Below are 23,846 nucleotides of genomic sequence, written 5' to 3'. Positions count from 1 at the left end.
ACTAGAAATACCATTTGACCCAGCCATCCCATTACTGGGTATATACCCAAAGGGCTATAAATCTTGCTGCTATAAAGACACATGCACATGTATGTTTATTGTGGCATTATTCACAATAGCAAAGACTTGGAACCAACCCAAATGTCCAACAATGATAGACTGGATTAAGAAAATGTGGCACATATACACCATGGAATACTATGCAGCCATAAAAAATGATGAGTTCATGTCCTTTGTAGGGACATGGATGAAATTGGAAATCATCATTCTCAGTAAACTATTGCAAGAACAAAAAACCAAACACCGCATATTCTCACTCATAGGTGGGAATTGAACAATGAGATCACATGGACACAGGAAGGGGAATATCACACTCTGGGGACTGTGGTGGGGTGGGGGGAGGGGGGAGGGATAGCATCGGGAGATATACCTAATGCTAGATGACGAGTTAGTGGGTGCAGCGCACCAGCATGGCACATGTATACATATGTAACTAACCTGCACAATATGCACATGTACCCTAAAACTTAAAGTATAATAAAAAAAAAAAAAGAAAATTTCAGTGTTCTAACCAAAAAAAAAAGAAAAGATTTCATTAAAACAGATACTAAAGAAGCTCAAGTGAGAATTATAATCAGTTTCTCTCTTTATTCAGTATCTTTCATGTAACGGAGAAGAAAAAGCAGCAACAGAAGCCATTATTCATATATCCTGGGTTAAGCCAGGTGAATTATCACCACTTAAGGCCCTAACTAACACTGATGGATTTTGACTGTTATAAAAACATCTTTCAACCTCATGCGGTACTGAAAACTCAATGAAGACAGAGATCTCTCCTTTTGGCTCCAGGCCTATATAACCAACAAGCATCTGAAATTAACTGTGTCAGGACTATATCAAAAAATGTGGTCTCTGATTTTCTTTTTATTTTTAAATTTTTATTTATTTATTTATTTATTTATTTATTTATTTTGAGATGGAGTTTCGCTCTTGTTGCCCAGGCTGGAGTGCAATGCTGGGATCTCAGCTCACTGCAACCTCCACCTCCCAGGTTCAAGTGATTCTCTTTTCTCAGCCTCCCAAGTAGCTGGGATTACTACAGGCATGCACCACCATGCCTAGCTAATTTTGTATTTCTAGTAGAGACGAGGTTTCACTATGTTGGCCAGGCTGGTCTCTAACTCCTGATCTCAGGTGATCCACTTGCCTCAGCCTCCCAAAGTGCTGATATTACAGGCGTGAGCCACTGCTCCTGGCCTCAGATTTTCAAATGGCACAGCAATCTGTTCCTCTTGCTGTATTTCCATTTTAATCGATGGAAGCTCCAGGTATGTGGCTCATGAAGATGATAATACGGGATAATTTGTTAATCTCTCCCTTTCCCTGTTGGTCTATGTCCGATCGATTGGCAAATTGCCAGTTCTATATCCAAACTATATCTGAAAACCATCCACCAGCCACATTAAACTTACATAGGTTCTTGGAACATACCAGGATCTTTTGCACATGAGGACATTTATTCTTAAGGTTTCTACTACTCCCCATACTGTTTTCCTGGCTCCTCCTATGGCTAGCTCTTTCTCATATTTCAGTTCCCAGCTTTAACATCTGTCTTCCTAGAGTCCTTTCTTGACTACCTTGTCTGAGTAATCACTTCTCCCCAACCCGTCACTTTTTTTCACATAATTGTCTTTATAGCTCTTATTTCAAACTGAGATGTATTTTATTTGTTAATGAACTTTTTTTCATTTTTTAATGAACATATAACAATTGTACACATTGATGGGGTACATGGTGATGTTTCCATACATATTATATATAGTGATAAGAGCAGGATAATTAGCATATCCATTATCTCAAACTTTTATCATTTCTTTGTGTTGGGAGCATTCAATATCCTTCTTTTAGCTATTTGAAACTCTATAATATATTATTGTTAACTATAGTCATCCCACTTTGACAGAGAATGTCAGAATTTATTTTTCCTTTCTAGCTATAATTTTGTATCGTTTAACAAATTTCTCCCTATGTCCCCTTCCCTCACCCTTCTCAGCTTCTAGTATCCTCTATTCTACTGTTTACCACTGTAAAATCACTATTTTTAGCTTCCATATATGAGTGTAGAAGAGTTCCCCTTCTCCATATCCCCACCAGCATTTGCTAATATTTCTATTTTTGATAATAGCCATTCTATCTGGAGATGATACTCCACAGTGGTTTTGATTTACATTTCCCTGATGATTAGTGATGTTGATGTGTGTGTGTGTGTGTGTGTGTGTGTTTTGTGAGACACCTGTTCAGATCGTTTGCCCATCTTTCAGTTGGATTATTTATTTATTAATTTTTTTGCTGTTGAGTTGCTTGAGCACCTTATATAACCTGGATATTAATCCCCTGTTGGATAGCTTGCAAATATTTTCTTCCCTTTTTGATATTGTATTTTCACTCTGTTCATTGTTCCCTTTGCTGCACAGAGCTTTTTAATATGATAAAATTCCATTTGTTTATTTTTGTTTTTGTTTTCTGTGCTTTTGAGGTCTTATTCATAAAATCTGTCCAGATCCATATCCTGAAGAATTTTTCCTGTTTTCTTCTAGTAGTTTCATAGTTTCAGTTCTTACATATAGGTCTTTGATTCATTTTGAGTTGATTTTTGAATAGGATGAGAAGTGGGGGTATAGTTTTATTCTTCTGCATATGAATAGCCAGTTTTCTCAGCACCGTTTATTGAAGACTGTCCTTTACCCAGTGAGTGTTCTTGGCAACTTCATCAAAAATCAGTTGGCTGTGGATACTTGGATTCATTTCTGGGTTCTCTATTTTGTTCCATTAGTCTATGTGTCTGTTTTTATACCAGTGTCATGCTCTTTTGTTTACTACAAATTTGTAGTACATTTTGAAGGCCGGTAGTGTGATACCTCTGGCTTTCTTCTTTTTGCTCAGGATTGCTTTGGCCTTTCACTGTCTTTTGTGGTTCCATACAAGTTTTAAGATTTTAAAAATCTATTTCTGTGAAGAATGTCATTGGTATTTTGATAGGGGTTGTACTGAATCTATATATTGCTTGGGTAATATGGTCATTTTCATAATATTAATTCTTTTATATTATTAATTTGCTTACTTATTTTCTGTGTTTCCCACCACGATATAAGCTTCCCGAAAGTAGATTCTTTATCTCTTTAGATGAACTTTGTATTTACATACATAATCTAATGCTTGGCATATTATAGGCACTTAATATGAAATAAGTGGACGAACGGGCACTCAGTGATAGGGATGATATAGTTAGAGACTCAGGTAACCTTCTCTCTCATTGTGTAGCTGTATATCATTAGCTAAATATCTGTGTGTCTTTGAGTTTTATTCTCTTAGTTAGTCAAAAAAAGGGAGGGGGCTAATGGCAACCACTTTGCCCTCCTGAACCAGCAGGTTCACGAGTCTTCTAACTGGAAAGAGCAGTGGCAGTGCAAATATCCAGAGAAAATCATTAATTCATGACCCATGACTCAGGAGACAGGCACTCAGAGCTATAGAAAAATGGCAAAAATGACAGTGTGGGGACCAAAAAAAGAGCCCACTTATAACTGTTAGAGGGTAATTAGTATCACACAGAGCAAAACATCTACATTTGTTGCAGAAATACCCTTGGCCATGGGGAATTCTCTTCAAGCATGGGAATGAATGTTCGGAATCCAGTGCTCATGCTAATATCTATCTTTCGAGTCCAGGGTTCACTGTTCAGGGGCTTTCTACTCAGCATAACTTTTATGCCCAACAAGATTAAATTCTTGGGCAGAATAATTACATGTAAATGCTGCTGGGCTATTAGTCTCAAGGGGCCAATTTTCTAGCCATTTGTTGCCATCTGAAATGTCAAATTTATTACACAGAGGGCATGGTAATACATACGACATCCTCTCCTAAATAGGATATGAAAAGCACTAATCAGCACTGTGGCTGTGAATGTTGACGTCAGTAAGATGTTGCTTTAGTTAATAAGGTGATCTAAATTAATGACATGGATTATTTTAAGGAAAATAAAACATTTCATAATAAATGTGCTACCTGAATACAGTTTCCTTAGTTCAAAGACTATTTGCTCTTAAGAGGGCTAATAATTTCCCACTCTCTCATATTTTCATAGATTCCCAGGGTCCAGGAAAAAAGACACTGGGCAAAAATAGGGGCTCCAACTTTAATTTCTGGCTCTGCTATTGTCTTACTATGTGAGCCTGGGAAAGTCACTTACCCTCTCTGATCTTCAGTTTTCTTGCCTGTAAAGATAAAGCTGTGTTGTGCTGACGGCATTTTTGAGAGCTCAAAGGAGGGAATTTGTTTTCAAGCACTTTGGAATCCTGAAAATGCTGTACAGAGGTGGAACTGTGCTCTACATTATAGGCATTTGTTAACTTTGCATGCCCAATGTTATTTCTACTGCTTTTATTCTTAGCAAAGGACCCTAGGCTTCATTTTTAGAATGTTTCTTCCTTTATTTAAGTCAATACAGCTCAGTTGTCTTTTTCTAAAATTCCAGAAGTAGTCATATGACCCAGGCTTGGCCAATTGAGCGTTCTATCATGTTGGCCTCATTGATTGTTTCAGAGATAGGTATATGACTTGGGCCAAGACAATGAGACTTATTTCTTCTATATATGGAGGGAGGTGATGGGAAAGGGAAGTTTTTTGCCTTTGGGAATGTAATCTGTCAGGGTATAAAACATGAAGCAGAGCACAGAGATATAGGGAGACCCCCTGAAACTATTGCTATGGAATAAAAGATGAAATGCACCTGATTATTGTAAATGAAAAATTGCATGCAGGATTGTGTAAAGACAATGCCAGGTTGGACTGCCAGAACGAGCCAACAGTGCGTAATGTGTTTCCTCCTGCAGAGAGCCTATGAATGGATGTGCAGTCAGGGAGGTTTCACATCATCAAGATTCCTATCCCAGAAAAGCAGATGTTCATAGCTCTGGGAATGGAATGCGACCCTTGTGGAGAGCCTATAAACGGACACATGGGGGGCGCCTGTCCATATGGATAAGATAGGGCTATAAATGCCCTCATCTTGCCACGGCTCTTCTAGGCCTCTTTAGGGTTAAGGCATAATCCCTTCTGAGAATTTCTGGTCTAACCGGTTGTCTAGCTTCATGTCCTGTTTCCATGGATTGCTTGTAACCAGCTTTTGTTGCAACTGTTACTGCTGATTAATATCTTGCTAATCATAGGTTATGGAAATATTGTGTTTCTGTTTTAAGGCTCTGTTAGAAATTACTGATGCACACGCTATATTGTAAATTCTTATCTCTGTATACTGTACTTCTACATACAAATGTTATGTTGAAGAATTACTTCATCCCCATGCAACCATCTCACCTCATAATCAAATGATCCTAAATCCCTCACTAACCTACCCCCACCCTCACTAAACTTAATAATAAATGCTGGTATATCCAGTGCACTGTTGGCACTGCGAGACCAAAAGGCGGTGACACCCCTTGACCCAGCTTTCACTATCTTGTGTGTGTCTATTATTTCTCAACCTGCCGATCCACCTGGGAACAAAGAGAGAGCCCTATTGCATTGTGGGTGCAATAGAGAGATAGGGTGATGCAGAATTGTAATGACATCTTTTGAGCCCCTGGATCAAGCTTGCTGGCTGGATGCTTTATTGAATTCCTGATCTGTACCAGGCACAACTAAAGGTATTCAGAATTTATCTTTGTATGAGAGAAATAAGTCTTGCTCTCATACAACTCACATTTCAATTGCATGAACCAACACATTTCCAGTTTCAGTCATCATCATTTGTTTGTGTTCTGTCTTGATCCTGAAAGTTCAGGATTGTATAAAATGGACAAAAATATCTATTTTGCTGAAATATTGTAGAGATAATATATATGAAGTCTTTGGGATATAGTAGGTGCTAAATAAATGGTATTAAAGTAGACATCAATTATTCTTCCTGGCCACTGTTTCCTTTGTTGGAGAGTCTCCTATCTTTTGAGTCAGAGTCCATTTTAAAGGTTGGCAATGCCATCTCCTATGAAGCAAAGTTATAGACATTTAGCTAAGAATTCACTAATTGGATGCATCAGACTTTGTCTGAATCGCATTATGCAATGAAGAACCAACCATGCAGACTTCTTTCTGGGGAGGTTGGTTCTAGTGGTGGCAGCTGCATGTGATTCTTAGAGTCAGCAGAGGCAGTGGTTCTAGCAGTAACATCTGAAGCCCTACCTCAAAATGCTAACAGAGCAAACTGCAGAGGCAATGTGTGGCGGTGGAGGCTGTGTGCCTTCACCATGCATCCCTGAAAAGAAGGGATTCCTGGATGTGTAGCTTCTGAAATAGTTCTCTGGACTTCCTAGGAATTATGGAAATCAGCCCATATCCATTAAGTTCATTATTTCTGCTTTAATTAGCCAGAGTTTATTTTTTTGCTTACAGTTAAGACCTGACTTATGATAATTATGATAATATAATTTCAATGATGACAATGGTGATGATAAGAACTGTGTTGTAGGAAGCAAAACAATCACTCAGTTTGTAATGTGGAAAATAGATAAGAGAGGAGTGAGATGGGAAACTGAGATAAGTGTGAGACTAATTATATTACAAATGATGTATGGTGGCAAGAGATGGCATGGCTGATGGTTAGTATCTAACTGTGTAGATGGACAGAAAGGAATAGATTCAAGAGAGACATTGGAGGTGAGATGAACTTGAGTTTTTTCAGCTGTTGGACCATTCACAGTACAGAAACTTTGAGAGTTGTTGGCCTTAGGTGCTAATGTTCTTTGTTCAACCAGAGATATTTGGGCTGCAGAGAGTACAGCTCAGCTTCACATCATTTAAACTGAGTCAAAGAACAACTAGGCGTCATGTTCAGATTGGGTTCCCTCAACTGGGTAGAAAGACTCAGCCGTTTCCATTTTTGTCTTTGCAAGAAGGTGAGATTTCTCCTGGACTCCCATATGCTGATGACATCCAATATTTTGCAAATGCTAAATATGCAAGAAAGGTGCTCATGAATAGATAATGAACACTGCTCATCATGATTTTCTGTGGAGCTTTCTCGTTGTCCCAACTGCTGTTTTTAAGGCCAGCCTAATGAGCCTCTTGTGACCACAGGAGGAACATGGTTCAGAGAGGGTAAGCGCTTTCTGTTGAGATGTATAATTTTCCCCTTAAATTCATTAAAAGTTTCTGAAACAAATAAATAAAACATAATTGATACAGATCCAGCATCCTTTTCTTCCATAGATCATTAAGAAGTTGTAATTGTTTCCCAGCCCCCAGGAAGCTCTCATCTCTAAGAATAGAGTGTTGGTTGTGACTCCCTGGCAATTGTTATTATTCTGAGGAATTAATTTACTCTAATTAGTTTTAAGCCCATTAACAGAAATAAAAAGCCGAGCAAAGGAAGGGAGGTCTGAAAACAACATTTTCCTCAGCCCATTGTAAGAACTTTCCATGTGCTTAATAATTTGGCCAGTGGAAATCAAACCTTGTTAAAAACCAAACAAAACACATATAAATCAAGATACAACTGGTATGGCTCCTAAAAGGCACATTGGCTATTATTCGGTTTTCTGAAAGTAAGAAATAAACTATAATTTTTCTGTCCCACTGGAAATCTTCAAATTGAGTCCCAAGGATACCAAATCAGAGAAATGATTGATAGTGAGGTTCACAAGGGGTTGGTTTTACTCAGGCAAAATCGATTTCTGTTTGCGATGGTTCAAGATGTTTGGGGAAGGCTCTATCCTCTCAGGAAGTAGCCTCCCCATCCTGGGTCACTGTGGCTGGAATCTGGTCATGACAGAGAAAAAAGTCACTTATTTGAGTTCTTTTCTCCAGGTCTTATTTAAACGGTTCATCCATGCAGGAGGGGCAATGCATTTTCCCAAGTCTCATGGAAGGGTTTCACAGCTTAGAGCTCAGCCTCAGAGTGGACTAGCACACAGCTGTTTCGGAGACTGGAGGATAGCCTGCTGGGATAGAGGTTTCCCTGGAAGATACAGAGCTGGTAAGGCTATCAAGGTAAATTGGGCACAAATGGTGGAGTCCATGGAGTTCAGAAAGGTTTTCAGGCAACAGGGAGATTTTGGAGTTTTTTGTTGTGTTTGTTTTGTTTTGGAACAGAGAAGTAACAGAATCAGATCTGTGCTCCTTGATAAAATGTAAAGAATGAATTTGAAGACCAGAGATTGAAGGATAGAAGGCAAGTTAGGAGATCCAGGTAAGGAGTACAGAAGGCCAGAAAGCAGGGCAGTAGAAATGGAAAGGAGGAGACAGAGTTTGAAAATGTGTTGGAGTGGAATATGTAGGATTTAGTGAGGGATAGGATGGAGATAGAGAAACCCAGAGGCTTTAGGTCTGGGTAACTAGAACAGTGAGGCCAGCAGTCAAGATAGGGAGGCATCAAAAACACAGAACATTCCCAGAGTCTGAGACAATGGATTTGGTTTTAGATAAAATAGGTAGTGCTGATTTTAAAGATGATAGGCTTTGGGGGAGAATAATCTGAATCTCCTGTAAAGCAGACACTGACTGGTCAGACTTATAAACTTTTGACCCAGGCAGAGGTATATGAAATTTATAATAAATAAATGAAGCTGACTGGAATTGAGGGCCACTAGATTTAGAGAACATGACCCATGTGAAGGCCACTTAGCTCCTCTGAGTTGCTGATGCGCCAGAATGGGGGCCAGTATTGCCAAATCATCCGATTCCTAAAGACAGGCCAGAAATCAGAATGTTACCTGAAGTCTCCTGATTCTTAAATGTTGGCAACCAATTCTTTCTTTGCTGAAACTTGAAGTGAGCCAATCCCAGGCAATTCTGCAGAGCATCCCATCTGATCCCACACATTTGAGAATGGATGGACTAACCTGAAGTATTACAGAGCAGCAGTGCAGAAGTGGGGACACAAGTAAAGGAGGATCACCAAGGAAGTGTTTTTGAGCAACTGCAACATTGCTGGCCCATGCTAGATGCTGTGGGAGATATAAGCTATGGCTGCTGCTCTCAAGAAGCTGACAGCATCGCTGCATCAGAGAAAAAGGCAGCACACTGTGTGATTATGGGTGGTAAGTCTCAAGAAAGGGAGAAATCAGCATGCAACAGACAAGTGAAGAGAGGCAATATAAAAGCTCTGGGTCTTAAATAGCTTTAAAGAGGAGGCAGAAGGTGCACAAAGAACTAGAGATTTTCCTCCAAATTCAATTTCCAAGTCAATAGCTGCAGTTCAACAGGTTTTGTGATTTCTGCAGGAAGATAGGCATGAGGTTTCCGAGAGCAGGTGGAAATGAGTAAATTATAGGTAGAACCTGCTTTCACACTAATGATCACTAACAGAAAAGTTTGTGCTATTTATTTTATTTTTTAAACAGTTTTCTCTGTTCCAATTGCTAGGCCCTTGGCATCTAACTTAAGAATTATCAATAAATAATAAAAATCCTGACAGTTTATATTCGGAGATGACACATCTCTGTAAAATAGTGAGATAATCCCCAAAGCTGGAGCATCTTATTCAAGGTTGGTTTATTTAGGGTTGCCCATGGAGTGGGAAAAGAGGTTAAGAGAACACTGAAATTCTCAGGATAGGGGAGGGTAGTACAAAAGAGAGGATTTGTCATGTTGTTTATAACTAGGCTTTGGGGATGCAGCAGAAAGTCAAACAGAGTTTTGCTTGATAATATACTCTATTTGCTTCTTGATTTCTTGTCTTTCTTCTTTTTTTCTTTTCTATTTTTTCCCCAAATCTCTGATGTTAACAGTGAGGAGTGATTTATTTGTTGGGGGATAAAGAAAATAGTGTCTCTGTCCTGAGTTTGTATCTATCATTGTATTTAAATGAACTTTTTTTCTGATAGGCAGAATCAATTTGTGAACCACATTTGATCCCCTCAGTCCAATTATTGCAGAAGCTGCTTCCTGGCTCAGGTGAGGAAAAATAAGAATATATTTTTGCATTTTCCCTTCTGCAAGGGAGGACATGAGAGTATAACAACCTCTCAGGAAACAGGATGACATTTGTCTGACTGTTCTGCTTTGGGGATGGATGGCTCTAGGGGAAAGAAGCATTTTCAGAGCTAAGATGCACTGTTTTTCATAAATAGGTAGAGATATACATCTCCTGCCTTTTTGACCAGTTTCAATTATGTTTGGGCGAAAATGCCAGACCATATTTCTTTAATAGCAGCATGAGTTCTCACACCTGATCCAGTTTTGAGATTATTAGGTTCTTATCTCTAAAAACAGAGGGAGAGGGAAGGAATGAACCAAGGAGAGAAGGGCCTCCGTGCAAAACTCCAGAGAGCATCAGGCCTCCCAGATTTTTCTGGGACTGTCAGCTACACGAAGAGTCATGTGGTCAGTTGAATCCAAGGTTCTCATATGTGTCCTTTGAGCTAAAGTAAGATCCCTCCCACGAAATACTGTCTTCTATTGTAGTGGGGACTATTTTAGTTGTGCACAGAGGCTACTTCAGAAAGGAGTTAGAGGTCTCATTTTAGAGAAGGTTAATATACTAAAGACATTTAATTGCTTTCTGGCTGACTTTGAAAACTCAGATTTCCAGCATTCTTTGGGAATTAGGTAAATTCTTCCTTTTCAATATTCTGTTTTAATGGATTCTGTTTCCTCCTTCAGTCACTGGAGCATTGGAGCAATAACAGGATTATTTCTTTCAGTTAGCACTAACAGCTAATGTCACACAAATTAGAAAACTGCACTTATATGCATGCCTTGAGTTACAAACAGCAGATGACAACCATCACTTACCAGAGATGGTAAAGTTTTCTTTTTCTTTTCTCAACGCCTCCTCAGCAAGGCTGCTCTCTCTACACAGCCACTGAGATGTCCAAGTCAGAGACAGTTTATCAGCAGCTGGTGTCTGGTCTAACATAATCCACAGTTGAATTTATCAATCACATTGGGAATTTATTATGTGGAGGATATTGGGTTCTGTGGTTGGTGTGCAAAGATGAGTGAAGCACATTACTTGCTGTCAAGAAGCTAATAGTAAAAGAGAAGAATAGACGTGAAACACATTCCATATGATGTGTTAGGTGGTAAGATTTAAGATAACGGGAGACCTTGATTCAGCCTGGATATCTAAGGAAGGCATGCTGCAGAAGATGACATCAAACCTGAGTCTTGAAGTAACAGCAGGAAGTTAGTAGAGAAGAGTTAGGAAGAAGGAGGAAATGCCAATGCACAGGAACACCTACTGTTAGTCTCAGTGAGTGCTTTCTGTGAGCCAGCCTCTATGCCTTACACACATTCAGGATTCTCACAGATGACATAAACACAGCCAGCAAACATATGAAAAAATGCTCAGCATCACTAATTACTGGATAAATGCAAATCAAAAGCAAATGAGTATTATTAAAACGTAAAAAACAAAAACAAAAACAAAAAACAAATGCTGGCGAGGTAGAGGAGAAAAGGGAATGCTTATACACTGCTGGTGGGAATGTAAATTAGTCCAGCCATTGTGGAAAGCTGCTTAGCAATTTCTAAAGAAATTAGAACTACTATTCTACCCAGCAATCCCATTTTGGGGGCATATATCCAAAGGAATGTAAATGGTTCTACCATAAAGACATATGCATGCATATGTTCATCACAGCGCCATTCACAATAGTAAAGACATGGAATCAACCTAAAAGCCCATCAACAATAGACTGGATAAATAAAATGTGATACCTGTATACATTGAATATTACACAGCCATAAATAACAATAAGATCATGTCTTTTGCAGCAACCTGAATGGAGCTGGAGGCCATTATCCTAAGTGAACTAACACAAGAACTGAAAACAAAATGCCACATGTCACTTATAAGTGGGAGCTAAAAATTGAGTGCACATGGACACAAAGAAGGAAAAAACAGACAATAGGGCTTACTTGAAGGTGGAGGTTGGGAGGAGGGTGAGGGTTGAAAAACTACCTATTAGGTTCTATGCTTGTTACATGGGTGACAAAATCTGTACACTAAACCCCTGTGACACACAATTTTCCCATATAACAAACCTGCACATGTACCCTTGAATCTAAAATAAAAACAAAAATTTTAAAAATCTTGTAAGTTAGGTATCTTTCAGTCTATATGTGAAAAAAATGAAGGCTTAGAGAAACTAATTAACTTGCGCAGATTAACATTGCTACAGTGTGGTAGACACAAGTTTTAAACCAAGACCTGATTTCAAAACTCAACTGCTTACCTATCATAGTACACTGCCTTTCTGGCCCACAAGACATAAATTGGTGTGATTATTTCCACCAAATGGGAAAAATATTATAAAGTCCCTTTATATAAAACTTGTAAGACCCTATTTGGCAAAGAACGAGGAAGAGCACACAGAAAACAAAGTAGAAGTCCTAGGAAGTCATTGACTGTTGAAAATGAACAAGAAGTTATGCAACAAAAGGCTGAAATGATAAAGTAGGCTAATGAGAACAGGACAATTGATTTCACACAATGCTTAAAGCATGTACAAATACCAGCTGTGGAAAGTGTTGTTTCTTTAGAGTCAACGGGACCCCACTCTCCCCATCACTCCCTTGGGCCCAGCTCCACTTGGTCCTTCTTTCTGTTCCTCAAGACATCAAACTTGCTCTGGCTTGTGGGCCTTTGCACTCACTCCTCCCACTGTTTGGAATGTTCTCTACCTAGATCATCTCTTTTTCCTTCCCTTATGAGTCAGCTCAAGTGTCACCTCCTCAAAGACGCCCTCCCTGACCTCCTGACCTAGTGAGTTCAACCACTCTTTGTCAAGTTACTCTAATTTTTCTATTGCATTTGTCACTCTCTAAAATGTCATCTTTATTTATAAGTTTATTTGTATACTGCCTATCTTCCTCTACAAGGGCATACGTTCCAGGATGGTGAAGGTTTTGTCTTGCCCACTGCTGTGTTCCCAGCTGCTACAGCAGTGCTTAGCCCACATATTGGAAGAACAAGGATATTTAATTAGAATAACTTTGAAAGGAGAATAGGCATTTGTTTTCATCGTCATTTAACAGAAGATAGAATGGGACTCTTAGCAGTAAAATAATACGTCAAAAATGAGTAAGTGGAAGAGCCAGGGATTGAACCTGAGTCTTCTTCCCCCACTGCATACACCTCTCATCTAGCTCAGAATAGTGTTTGCTGGTTTCTTACTTTTATTCCCTTCTGACTTTCACATATAAAGATGGATTTGCCTGAGGTTAGAAACTTTCTGTAATGACTAGGGTTATATATTCTTCTATTCACTACCCAGTGCCCCCCACTTCTGCATCTTCCTTGGATTCCCTAAGATAGAGATGCCAGGTTGACCAGGTGGCAGTGGGATGGGGTCAACTGTGCCCCAGAAGCCAGTGTCATGGCCATGACTCTTTCATTGCTTGCTATATGGCCTTGGGCCCATCTCCTCTTTTCTCTAGACCTGGTTAGTGAAGAGAATGAACTCATTAATCTATGAACTAATGATTCCTCGATGGCTGTTTCAATATGAGCCTGGCAATGCTGAGACTGAGCATGGTGTGTCTGTGTCTCTGTACATGTGTACGTGTCAGGGGTTGTTATTTGGAGGACATCAGAAACAAATGATACAGTTATCCAGTTTTTTGAAGCCTGAACATAAAGTACTCAGGTCACCTAGAGTTGACTTCATTTGTCCCAAGTGTTCTGTTCAATGAATACTCATGGATTGGAAGATGGAATGAATGAGGATGTTTGCTCAAACCTTCCTGCTTAATGATTTAGTAGCAGTGTGTGCTCTTAGTCACAATTCACTGAAACTAATTTTAACTGAACTAAGCAAGAGGAATGTTTGGATGGTTTTCATGGGCCTACAGAATGCAAAGGAGGGTGGAGAATTGCATGAGGATGAGGGAAACTAAAAGAGGAGAGGAGGACTTGGAAAGAAGCAGCATGGCAATGGTTCTGTCATGGGAAAAACCTCAAGACCCTCTCTACAGCCATGTCCATTTTGTAATGAAAACATGCAATCTATGCCTCCCCTCCTTATTAACCCATGTGGGAGTCAACATCCTGAGACTGCCTGCGGTGGTCAGAGGCTAGTGAGGAAAACAAAACTGTGGCATTTATTTTAATGGAGAGAATTCAACATAGGGAAATGGTTGCACAGAAGTTGGAAATTGCAATCGTAAAAATGATCCTCAAGACAACATAGATACAGTACCAGCAGGAAGAAGCTACCATGCCTAGGGCTAGGAAACAAAGAGAAGTTGCTGTTGTCAGAGTCCAAAAGCTTGGCAAAGAGGCATGAAGGAGCTGAATCCTAGACCTTTGAGGGGAGGATGCTGGCCAACCTCTGCTGGTGTCTCGGGAGTTGGAAGAGGATTCTGCCAAGGCTGGGGCTCAGACCTCTGAGGAGAGGGTACCTGGCTGGTACCTCTGAGGGACTGAGGCAAGGATGATTCTAGGACTGTGGAAAGAAGCTGATAAAGGACCAGTTGTTGTTGGAAAGAACTGACGATGCCCAGGTGAAGAGCAGCAGCTGGCTGATGCTGAAGGCAGAGGAGCAAGTCGCTTCTCTCCTCCTGCCTTCCAGTTTCCCTATTGACACAATGAATCGGGAAGCCACCTGGCCCTGAGAAATACAATCTACAAGGCCCCAGGTCTGGCAAAACAAAGCTGGGTAGCAAAGGTGAATTTTGAGCTGAGAGACAGTAGTTTAATCACCTGCAGCGCACCTCACCCTCACATACTCCAAGGCAGAGGTTAGGTCATGTGCTCACCCTCTGGCTGTATTGGGCAGGGATAGGGAGGATCTGATCTTTTCCTTTTGTCATTAAAAATAATCAGCTGGAATTGGTTTTCTAATACTACACATCCTGGAGGAGAAATTAATTATCAGTGTGGAAATACAGGTGACACTAGACAGAGGGAATGGATGTTGGGGAGACAAAATGCCAAATATCTGCTGGGGCATCTTAGTAAGTAATGTCTTGGTGGAGTGCTGAATGTTGGTATCATTTTCCCTTCTGTATAAAGATATGGAGTTGACCCTTCTCGTCCCTTTATTGTAGCATTAAAGCTGGATATTTACGTCAGGCTACCAATTGAAGATGCCCTGTTTAGATGGGGATTATAAATCCCCTACATTGAACTTTAATTGGGGACAAATAAAGAGAAAAAGTTTGGGGTTATTTTCTTCCATGGTTCAGAGATTTATATAGGGCACTTAGAACCTGTTTATCTCAGCAGGCAGAAAGAGGTTTCTTAAATGGATTTTCATGCTTATGGCTTCAAAACACAAAGCCCTATGCAGCTTGGTGTTTGTTTTGCAAATCCTTTTCACACCAAAATTATTCTTTTGTGGAAGGAGGGAGGAAAACAGCTTACAGTAGTGCCCCCCGCCATCTCCCCCAGTTTCTCTATGTTATGCCTAAAGAGAGATACACACAAACATGTAATGGATCAGATTTTGGAGGAATTCAATGCATGGTAATTAGTCCATGGCAGCTTTGAATTTCTTGAAATTAGGAACATTGATTCTTTACTGAAATGTAAGTTACTTGGAGATACTTTATTCCTTTTATTCTAGGTTTTGCTTTTTTTTTTTTTTTTAACAACTTGAGCTTATTTGCTAAGTAAAGTTTTTCATTTATGCTTTATGCTGCTTGACTCAGAAGACTGAATTGGGAAGTTCCTTAAAATTAAAAGCTCTCATAAATTTCTTCAAGGGTGGTTACAAAAAAATTATTGACTGGCTAAACTACAACAGCCAAAAGGAAGGTCAATTGTCAATCTTGCATAAAAGTTTATTTCTTGAAAAATAAAAAGTTAAAATTCCTAATAGACTACCTTAAAAGTTATGTGTATGTCATATAAGAAGCAAAATTTCTTTTATCCTCAGAAGCAATCATTTTACTACTACAAGCTTTTTATATACATATATGCATTTATTAAAAATAGAACCATGATGTATGTATTAGTCTGAAATATATATATTTTCAAATAATAATATGTCAGATATGTTCTAGGTAATTACATGTGATTGCTCTCTATTTTACACAGCATGACTTCTTATAATTTATCTCTTCTCTGTTGATGGATATTTAGTTTGTATTCTTACTTTTCTTGCTACCAGAAACAATGCCATTGTGAACATCCCTGTATATCTGTCTTTGCATGTATCTGCTATTGTTTCTCTAAGATAGATATGACATCATTATCCTTTTGCAAAAAGATCCAGTTCAGAATCATGTGTTGCATTTAGTTGTCTTATCTCTTTAGTCCCTTTCAGTCTGAAGTAGTTCTTCAGACTTTAATTTCATGAACTGGATACATTGGAAACTACAGTTATTTTGTAGAACGTTTCTTAATTTGTCTTTGCCTGAATTTTCCTTATGATTAGATTGAAGTTGTACATTTTTGGCAGAAATATTACGGAGCTGATGCTGTGTCTTTCTTGCTGCATCCTATCAGGTGGTGCATGATTTGTCCCTTTACTGATGATGATGTTCACTTTGATCACATGATTAAGGTGTTGTCAGTCAGACTTCTTCATTGTGCAGTTACACTTTTCCCTTTGAAATTCGTAAGTATTTGATGGGGAAAAACTTTCAAACTATGTAAATATCCAGTTTATCATCAAACTTTCAGTTTATCCGTTTATTTATTTAAATCAGTATGGACTCAGAGTTTCCTAGTTTATTCAATATGTTATAACCCATTACTATATCTTTTAATTTTGATATTCAAATTGTCTATGCTGAAACATGTTTCTAGAACATTACTACTTAAAAACTGTTCACAATTATTTCATTTGGGAAGAAAGACTAGTGATTGGGAGTGGATAAAAAAGAAATTTTACCTTTTAAATACCTTTCTATTATCTTTGATTTTTAAAAAATTCTATTTCCCACCGTATTTTGTTTTAAGAAAATGTCAGAAGAGGTTCTCTGGGCCATAACATTAGGGCTGTGATGCTCAACTCTGACAAAATGTTATAATTTGTTAAAAAAAAAAAAAAAAAAAAAAAAAAAAAACCATTGCCAGGGCCTCATTCCCAGAGTTTGATGTAATTTGTTCTCAGGTGGGGCTTGGGTATCTATATTTTAAAAAATTCCTCCAGTGAGCACTCTGGGTTGAGAATTACTAGATTAGGTATGAACAAGATCAGCTATATAATTTGCAGGGTTCAGGACAAAGTGAAAATGAGAGGCTTCCTGTTGAAACTCATTAAGAATTTCAAAATGGTGATATCAAATTATTAAACTAAGAGTTTTAAGCATGGGGGCCCTGTGAGAATGCACAGCATGCATGTTCATGAAACGAGTCCTGGGCGAGGATATATACCACATTCGGTATAAGAAAGAAAACTACGCAAATCAAAGGTATACAGGCATAAAGAAATGGTACCATGAGAAACAATGGCATAGACATGGACAAGTATCCATGTGCTTTCCCTGATTTTCCAGCTGTCTTGCAGTTAGATGAGGACACATGACCAGGCCTAGACAATGGGCAGTGGGCAGAAGTGACGAAGAGCAGGTTTGAGTTCTTCATGATTTGTCTGAGGTCTAGATCTGAGACAGTGTTTCCATGAAGGTGCCGCTTGCCTCAGTGTGGTAGCCTGAGAGAATGTGTGAAGCAGAACTCCCCGGCAATTCTCATAAGTTGTGTACCATGAGCAAGAAATAAATCTTTTTTATACAAAGCCAAAGAAATTTGTTACAGCAGCATAGTTTTAACCTATTCTGACAAATACCAAAAGATACAGTTTAAATGCTGTAGGGTGTCAGAGGAAAAAGAGCTGACTTCTTGCTGTAGGTATCAGGCAATACTTCATGGAGGATGGTATATTTGAAATGGAATGGGTAGAATTTGCACATGTAGAGTTGGGAAGACAAAAATTGGATTAATTAACTATTACTTCATCGAAAACCACTCCACATGTTAGTGGCAGCAAACAACCACCATCTACTATTTCCCATGAGACTAAGGACCCAATAGGTGGTTCTGCTCTTCTGGGCTGCATTCAGGTAATACAGACTGGCCTTTCTCATGCATCTGTGTTCAGCTGCTGGGATGGCTGAGGGCTGGCTGGTTTAGGTTGGCCTCACTCACATGTCTGGAGGTTGGCTGGCTGTCGTCCTCCAGCAGGCTAACATATGTGGTGGTGGCAGGACCCTAAGAGACAGAATGGAAGCATGCCAGGCCTCTCTAGGCTTAGGCCCAGAATGAGCACATTGTGACTTGCACTACATTCTATTGGTCAAAGCAAGTCATAACACCAGCCTAGAATCAAAGTGTGGGGAAAGAGTCTCCACTTCTTGATATCATATTTCTGGTACTTGGGAGATATTCAACATTTGTGAAATAAATACATAATGAACTAGGTTCCCTGGATATTAGCTTTTTGGATCTCAGTCCTTGGACTTCCGCACTTCCCTGTCTACATGACCTACCTACGTAATCTCATCCTGTATTCCCAATTGTATGTATCTCTTCCCTGAAATATCAATCTCTTTCCATAAAACCAACTGCCTACTCCATATCTCACTAACTCTGTAATAGGCAGCTTTTGCTTAACATGTGCAAACCTAGACTCCTCATATTCCTCTCCCCCAGATGGTTTCCTCCCATAGTTTCAATTTCAGTTCATGGTAGCTACATTGTTCTAGTTGCTCAGACCACAAACCTCGAAGTCATCTTGGCCTCGTTTCTTTCTCTCATACCCCATGACCAATCCGTTAGCCAATCTTGTTAACCCTACCTTCCTTTCATGGCCAGGGTACAATTACTTTCACCCTCTCTACCACTATCATCAGGTTCAAACCATCCTAATCTGTTTGCCTTCATTATTGCAATAGGTTTCTATCCCATCTCTATCCTTGCTTCTGCTCTGACCTCTGCTCTTAATGTTTTCACACAGTCTCCAAAGTGCTCTTTTAAATATCAGAGTCATTTAATGTCACCCTCTGCTTAAGGGCTCCCAGGAGTTTCTCATCTCATGGAAAGCAGAAGTCCATTTACAAAGGCTTCCAAGGCCCCACATGAACTGTTTTCCTATTCCCACTTTGCACTCCTTCCCTACTCCTCTTTGGACTTTGTTCACTCAGCCCAGCCACACTGGCCTCCTTATTGCCCCTAGAACACAGTAGCATGCACCTGCCTGGGGGCTTCACTTTTGTTCTCTCCTCTGCCTGGAATGCTCTTCCTCCTGATAGCTGCATGCCTCCCTTGCTTATTTCTTTCAAATTTCTACCCCAGTGACTTCTTCATACCAATAAGGACTTTCTACACCTCTGTATTTAAATAGCCCCCAATAAACTATCTCTGCATCTCACTCTGTTTTTCATTATTATTATTATATTTTAAGTTCTAGGGTACATGTGCACAAAGTGCAGGTTTGTTACATGTGTATACATGTGCCATGTTGGTGTGCTGCACCCATTAACTTGTCATTTACATTAGGTATATCTCCTCCTCCCTGCCCCCACCCCACAACTTCTCCGTAGCCCTTCCAGCCTTTGACATATTCTATATTTACCTGTTGTTTGTTTGTTGTCTGATTCTTTGTACTAGAACATTAATTTCAGGCAGGCAGGAACAGTTTTTTTTTCTACTTGAATATCTCCAGAGCCTAGAAAAGCTTAGAAGTGTTTTATAAATGAATGAATAAATAGAGGTAGAGATTCTTACAATGGGTGAGAGACTAGGTGAGGTAATCTGGAAGATCATTGCAACTCAAATAGCCTGTGGCACCAATAGAAGTAGAAATTGAATTGTTTGGCCGGGCACGGTGACTCAGGCCTGCAATCCCAGCACTTTGGGAGGCTGAGATGGATGGAACACCTGAGGTCAAGAGTTTGAGACCAGTTTGACCAACACGGTGAAACCCCATCTCTAGTAAACATATGAAAATTAGCCAGGTGTGGTGGCAGGCACCTGTAATCCCAGCTACTCCGGATGCTGAGGCAGGAGAATCGCTTGAACCCAGGAGGCAGAGATTGCAGTGATCTGGGATTGCACCATTGCACTCCAGCCTGGGTGACACGAGCAAAACTCCGTCTCAAAAAAAGAAAGAAAGAAAGAAATTGAACTGTTTTCATACAAGATTTACTTGAGATCCACTGGCATCTATTATCACTATTGCCCTTCCAATCTGTTCTCTCCATTAGTGCCTAAATATCCTGGTTTTCTGTCCCTCTTCTCATAATTAATATCGTCTAATCTAAACTTCATGATTACATCCCTGAACTTTCTGCCCAAATTCTCTTTGCACTATCTCATAGCACCATTCACTATTTCCTTATACCATTTATCACAACAAAACTGTATTATACCTTTAATGGTGCGATTGTTTTCATAGATTATAAACTCTATGAGGGCAAGGACTATGGTTCGTTCCTTTTGTCAGTATATCAACAGCATCCCGCACAAGTGCCTGGTTCACAGCAGGGACTAAATACCTCCTGGCACCTGACTATGAGATTGAATAAGCGAATCTCTCTCACCCAGATGGTACTGTGCTCTGATCACTGATTCTGCGCTCTCCACTAGTTAATTCCAAGGGGTATGTTTAAAAATAGATGCCATCTTTCAAATCCAATTTTAGATTCTTGTCTGAATAAAAAAAATATTAAGGCTGGGATACAGAGTTGAGGGGAGAGGAGAGTCTTAAATCTGATTAATAAATACACTGTGTCACAGGGCTCTTTTGGTAACACACTACATTAGAGGGTTAAAATTCATAGCCAGACCTCTGAAATACTCTTAGTGTTCTTCTCTGTTTTTGAGGTTGTCTAAAACCAAGACTTAGGGATTTTCTTGCAAAACAATATTGCACAGCAGCTCCAATCTTGGCAGATTCTGCCTGGCAGGCAGTGTCATCTGTTAACACTCCAGGAGCAATTAGATGTATTTGACAAAAACAGGATGATATTTGTAAATTAGCTTGAAAGAGTCTATGGGGTACAAGAAAATTGATTCTAAAGTAGGTCAGATCCGTTCTGTACCTTGTCCAATTATGATGTGTAGGCAAGTGAATTCAGTTACTCAGAGATTTGACTCAGTTGCCGAACAAAAAAGCCTATTGGTGGGTAAACTGCTTGTCTTTGGAAGCCTCCATGCGTGGGATCCTACAAGACCATCTCAACCAGGGTACTAGAATCCTGGGTAGGAAAGAAATGCCAAATTTATTTTCTTCCCTCTTATTCTTTTCTTTCTCCATATTCTTTCTATTCAAGGTGGTACAGTGGACTTGCAGCTCTGGAATCAACAGATCTGAGTTCACATCTCAGCTTAGTAGCTGTATGATCTTGGGTGTGCAACTTTACCTCTGTGAGTTGTTGTTTTCTCACCTGTAAAATAGCAATCCCAACAATAGGAAAAGTCACACAAGATTATGTAGAATTAAATAAATAATGAATGCAAATAGCTTAGGAGTCTGCCTGACATATAGGCAATGTACCATAAATGTTGACTATTGTTATTATTTAGAATATCCCCTTTATATTATACTTGGTAAAGAAATGAATAACCCAGATCCTTCCTCATAGTTGGACCTTCATGGGGAATTTACCTCAAAAGTTAGATGTAGATTCTGCAGCTCTTTAGACATTTGATTCATGTCAGAGTCTTTGCCATTTAAGATGTAGCTGAAAGTCAGTTTTACTCCAGGAATTCTTGTCCTCACTCCCCATTCTTCATTCCTTGTCTTTTCCTCACCGAGATGAAAATTTAACGTCTGAAGGAAATGTCAGTTATTTCTATATTGATCTTGAGGGGACAACTTATTTCTGTTTTAGAGAATATAGATATTTGGGCTGGACATCAATGAGAAACATGAGGAAAGCAGCAAAAACCCTGCAGGCAAACCACAGGATCACTTTAAAGATGGATTTTATTTCTGTCCACTCATCTGCCAGCTCTCATCTGCCAGAAGGGTCCTGACTGAGGCCCCTTCTTTTCCCAGTAGGATATTTGGGGAAAACAATCACCACGTTTAATTCAGAGAGGGAAGGGAGGAGGAGTAAGTGAGACTTGAGCTGAGTTAAAGATAAAATAATAATAATGATGATGAGGGGGCTCCCAGGCAGGTGCCTTGTGTTTCTACCTCTGATCTCTAAGGGAAGGCTGTGTGGGAGTGGGAAGGCATAGTTGGTTTTTTAAACTTTTGCTGAATTATTTTTTTTTTCTTCAACTTTTAAGTTCAGGCATATATGTGCAGGATGTGCAGGTTTGTTACATAGTTAAATGTGTGCCATCGTCATTCCCGCCCCAGAACAACCCACAACAGGCCCCAGTGTGTATTGTTTCCCACCATGTGTCCATATGTTTTCATCATTCAGCTCCCCCTTATAAGTGAGAATATGAGGTGGTTGGTTTTCTGTTCCTGAATTAGTTTGCTGAGGATAATGGCTTCCAGCTCCATCCACATCCCAACAAAGGACGTAATCTTGTTCTTTTTTATGGCTGCATAGTATTCCATGGTGTATGTTTACCACACTTTGTGTATTCAGTCTATCATTGATGGGCATTTAGATCGATTCTATGTTTTTGCTATTGTGAATAGGGCTGCAGTTAATGTATTCATGCATGTATCTTTATAATAGAATGATTTATATTCCTTTGGGTATATACTCAGTCATGGGATTGTTGGGGCAAATGGTATTCCTGTCTCTAGCTCTTTGAGGAATCACCATACTGTCTTCTATAATAGTTGAATAAATTTACACTTCCACCAACAGTGTAAAAGGATTCATTTTTCTCCACAACCTAACCAGCATGTTATTTTTTGACTTTTTAGTAATAGCCGTTCTGACTGGCATGAGATGGTATCTCTTTGTGGTTTTGATTTGCATTTCTTTAATGATCAGTGATGCTGAGCATTTTTTCATGTTTCTTGGCCATACGTATGTCTTCTTTTGAGAAGTGTCTGTTCATGTCTTTTGCCTACTTTTTAATGTTTTTTTTTCTTGTACATTGGTTTAAGTTCCTTGTAGACTCTGGATATTAGATTTTTGTTAAATGGATAGATTGCAAAAGTTTTCTCTCTGTAGGTTGTCTCTTCACTCTGATGATAGTTTCTTTTGCTGTGCAGAAGGTCTTTAGTTTAATTAGGTCCCATTTGTCAATTTTGGCTTCTGTTGCAATTGCTTTTGGCATTTTTATCATGAAATGTTTGCCTGTGCCTATGTCCTGAATGGTATTGCCTAGATTTTCTTCTAGGGTTTTTATAGTTTTGGGTTTTACATTTAACTCTTAAATCCATCTGGAGTTAATTTTTGTATATGGATGGGGAGGAGCCAAGATGGCCGAATAGGAACAGCTCCGGTCTACAGCTCCCAGTGTGAGCGACACAGAAGACGGGTGATTTCTGCATTTCCATCTGAGGTACCGGGTTCATCTCACTAGGGAGTGCCGGTCAGTGGGTGCGCGCACCGTGCGCGAGCCGAAGCAGGGTGAGGCATTGCCTCACTTGGGAAGCGCAAGGGGTCAGGGAGTTCCCTTTCTGAGTCAAAGAAAGCGGTGACTGACGGCACCTGGAAAATCGGGTCACTCCCACCCGAATACTGCGCTTTTCCGACGGGCTTAAAAAACGGTGCACCATGAGATTATATCCCGCACCTGGCTGGGAGGGTCCAACGCTCACGGAGTCTCGCTGATTGCTAGCACAGCAGTCTGAGATCAAACTGCAAGGTGGCAGCAAGGCTGGGGGAGGGGCGCCCGCCATTGCCCAGGCTTGATTAGGTAAACAAAGCAGCCGGGAAGCTCGAACTGGGTGGAGCCCACCACAGCTCAAGGAGGCCTGCCTGCCTCTGTAGGCTGCACCTCTGGGGGCAGGGCACAGACAAACAAAAAGACAGCA

General features: G+C 39.8%; 1 protein-coding gene and 1 long non-coding RNA gene across 3 annotated transcripts in view; one reads left to right on the top strand and one right to left on the bottom strand.

Moving 5' to 3' along the window:
* The window catches only part of LOC105378211 (uncharacterized), a 50,059-nt gene extending 31,903 nt beyond the window's left edge, over positions 1–18,156 (bottom strand). For both annotated transcript variants that reach the window (XR_007058983.1, XR_001742911.2), the window contains exon 1: positions 18,098–18,156. This is a non-coding gene — a long non-coding RNA (uncharacterized LOC105378211). The remainder of the gene's footprint in view (positions 1–18,097) is intronic.
* The window catches only part of PRELID2 (PRELI domain containing 2), a 606,358-nt gene that overhangs the window by 387,320 nt on the left and 195,192 nt on the right, over positions 1–23,846 (top strand). The gene's annotated exons all lie outside the window — the stretch shown is intronic.

Source organism: Homo sapiens, chromosome 5 (assembly GCF_000001405.40).
Source record: "Homo sapiens chromosome 5, GRCh38.p14 Primary Assembly".
Classification (NCBI taxonomy): domain Eukaryota; kingdom Metazoa; phylum Chordata; class Mammalia; order Primates; family Hominidae; genus Homo; species Homo sapiens.
This window is presented reverse-complemented; position numbering and strand designations above follow the sequence as displayed.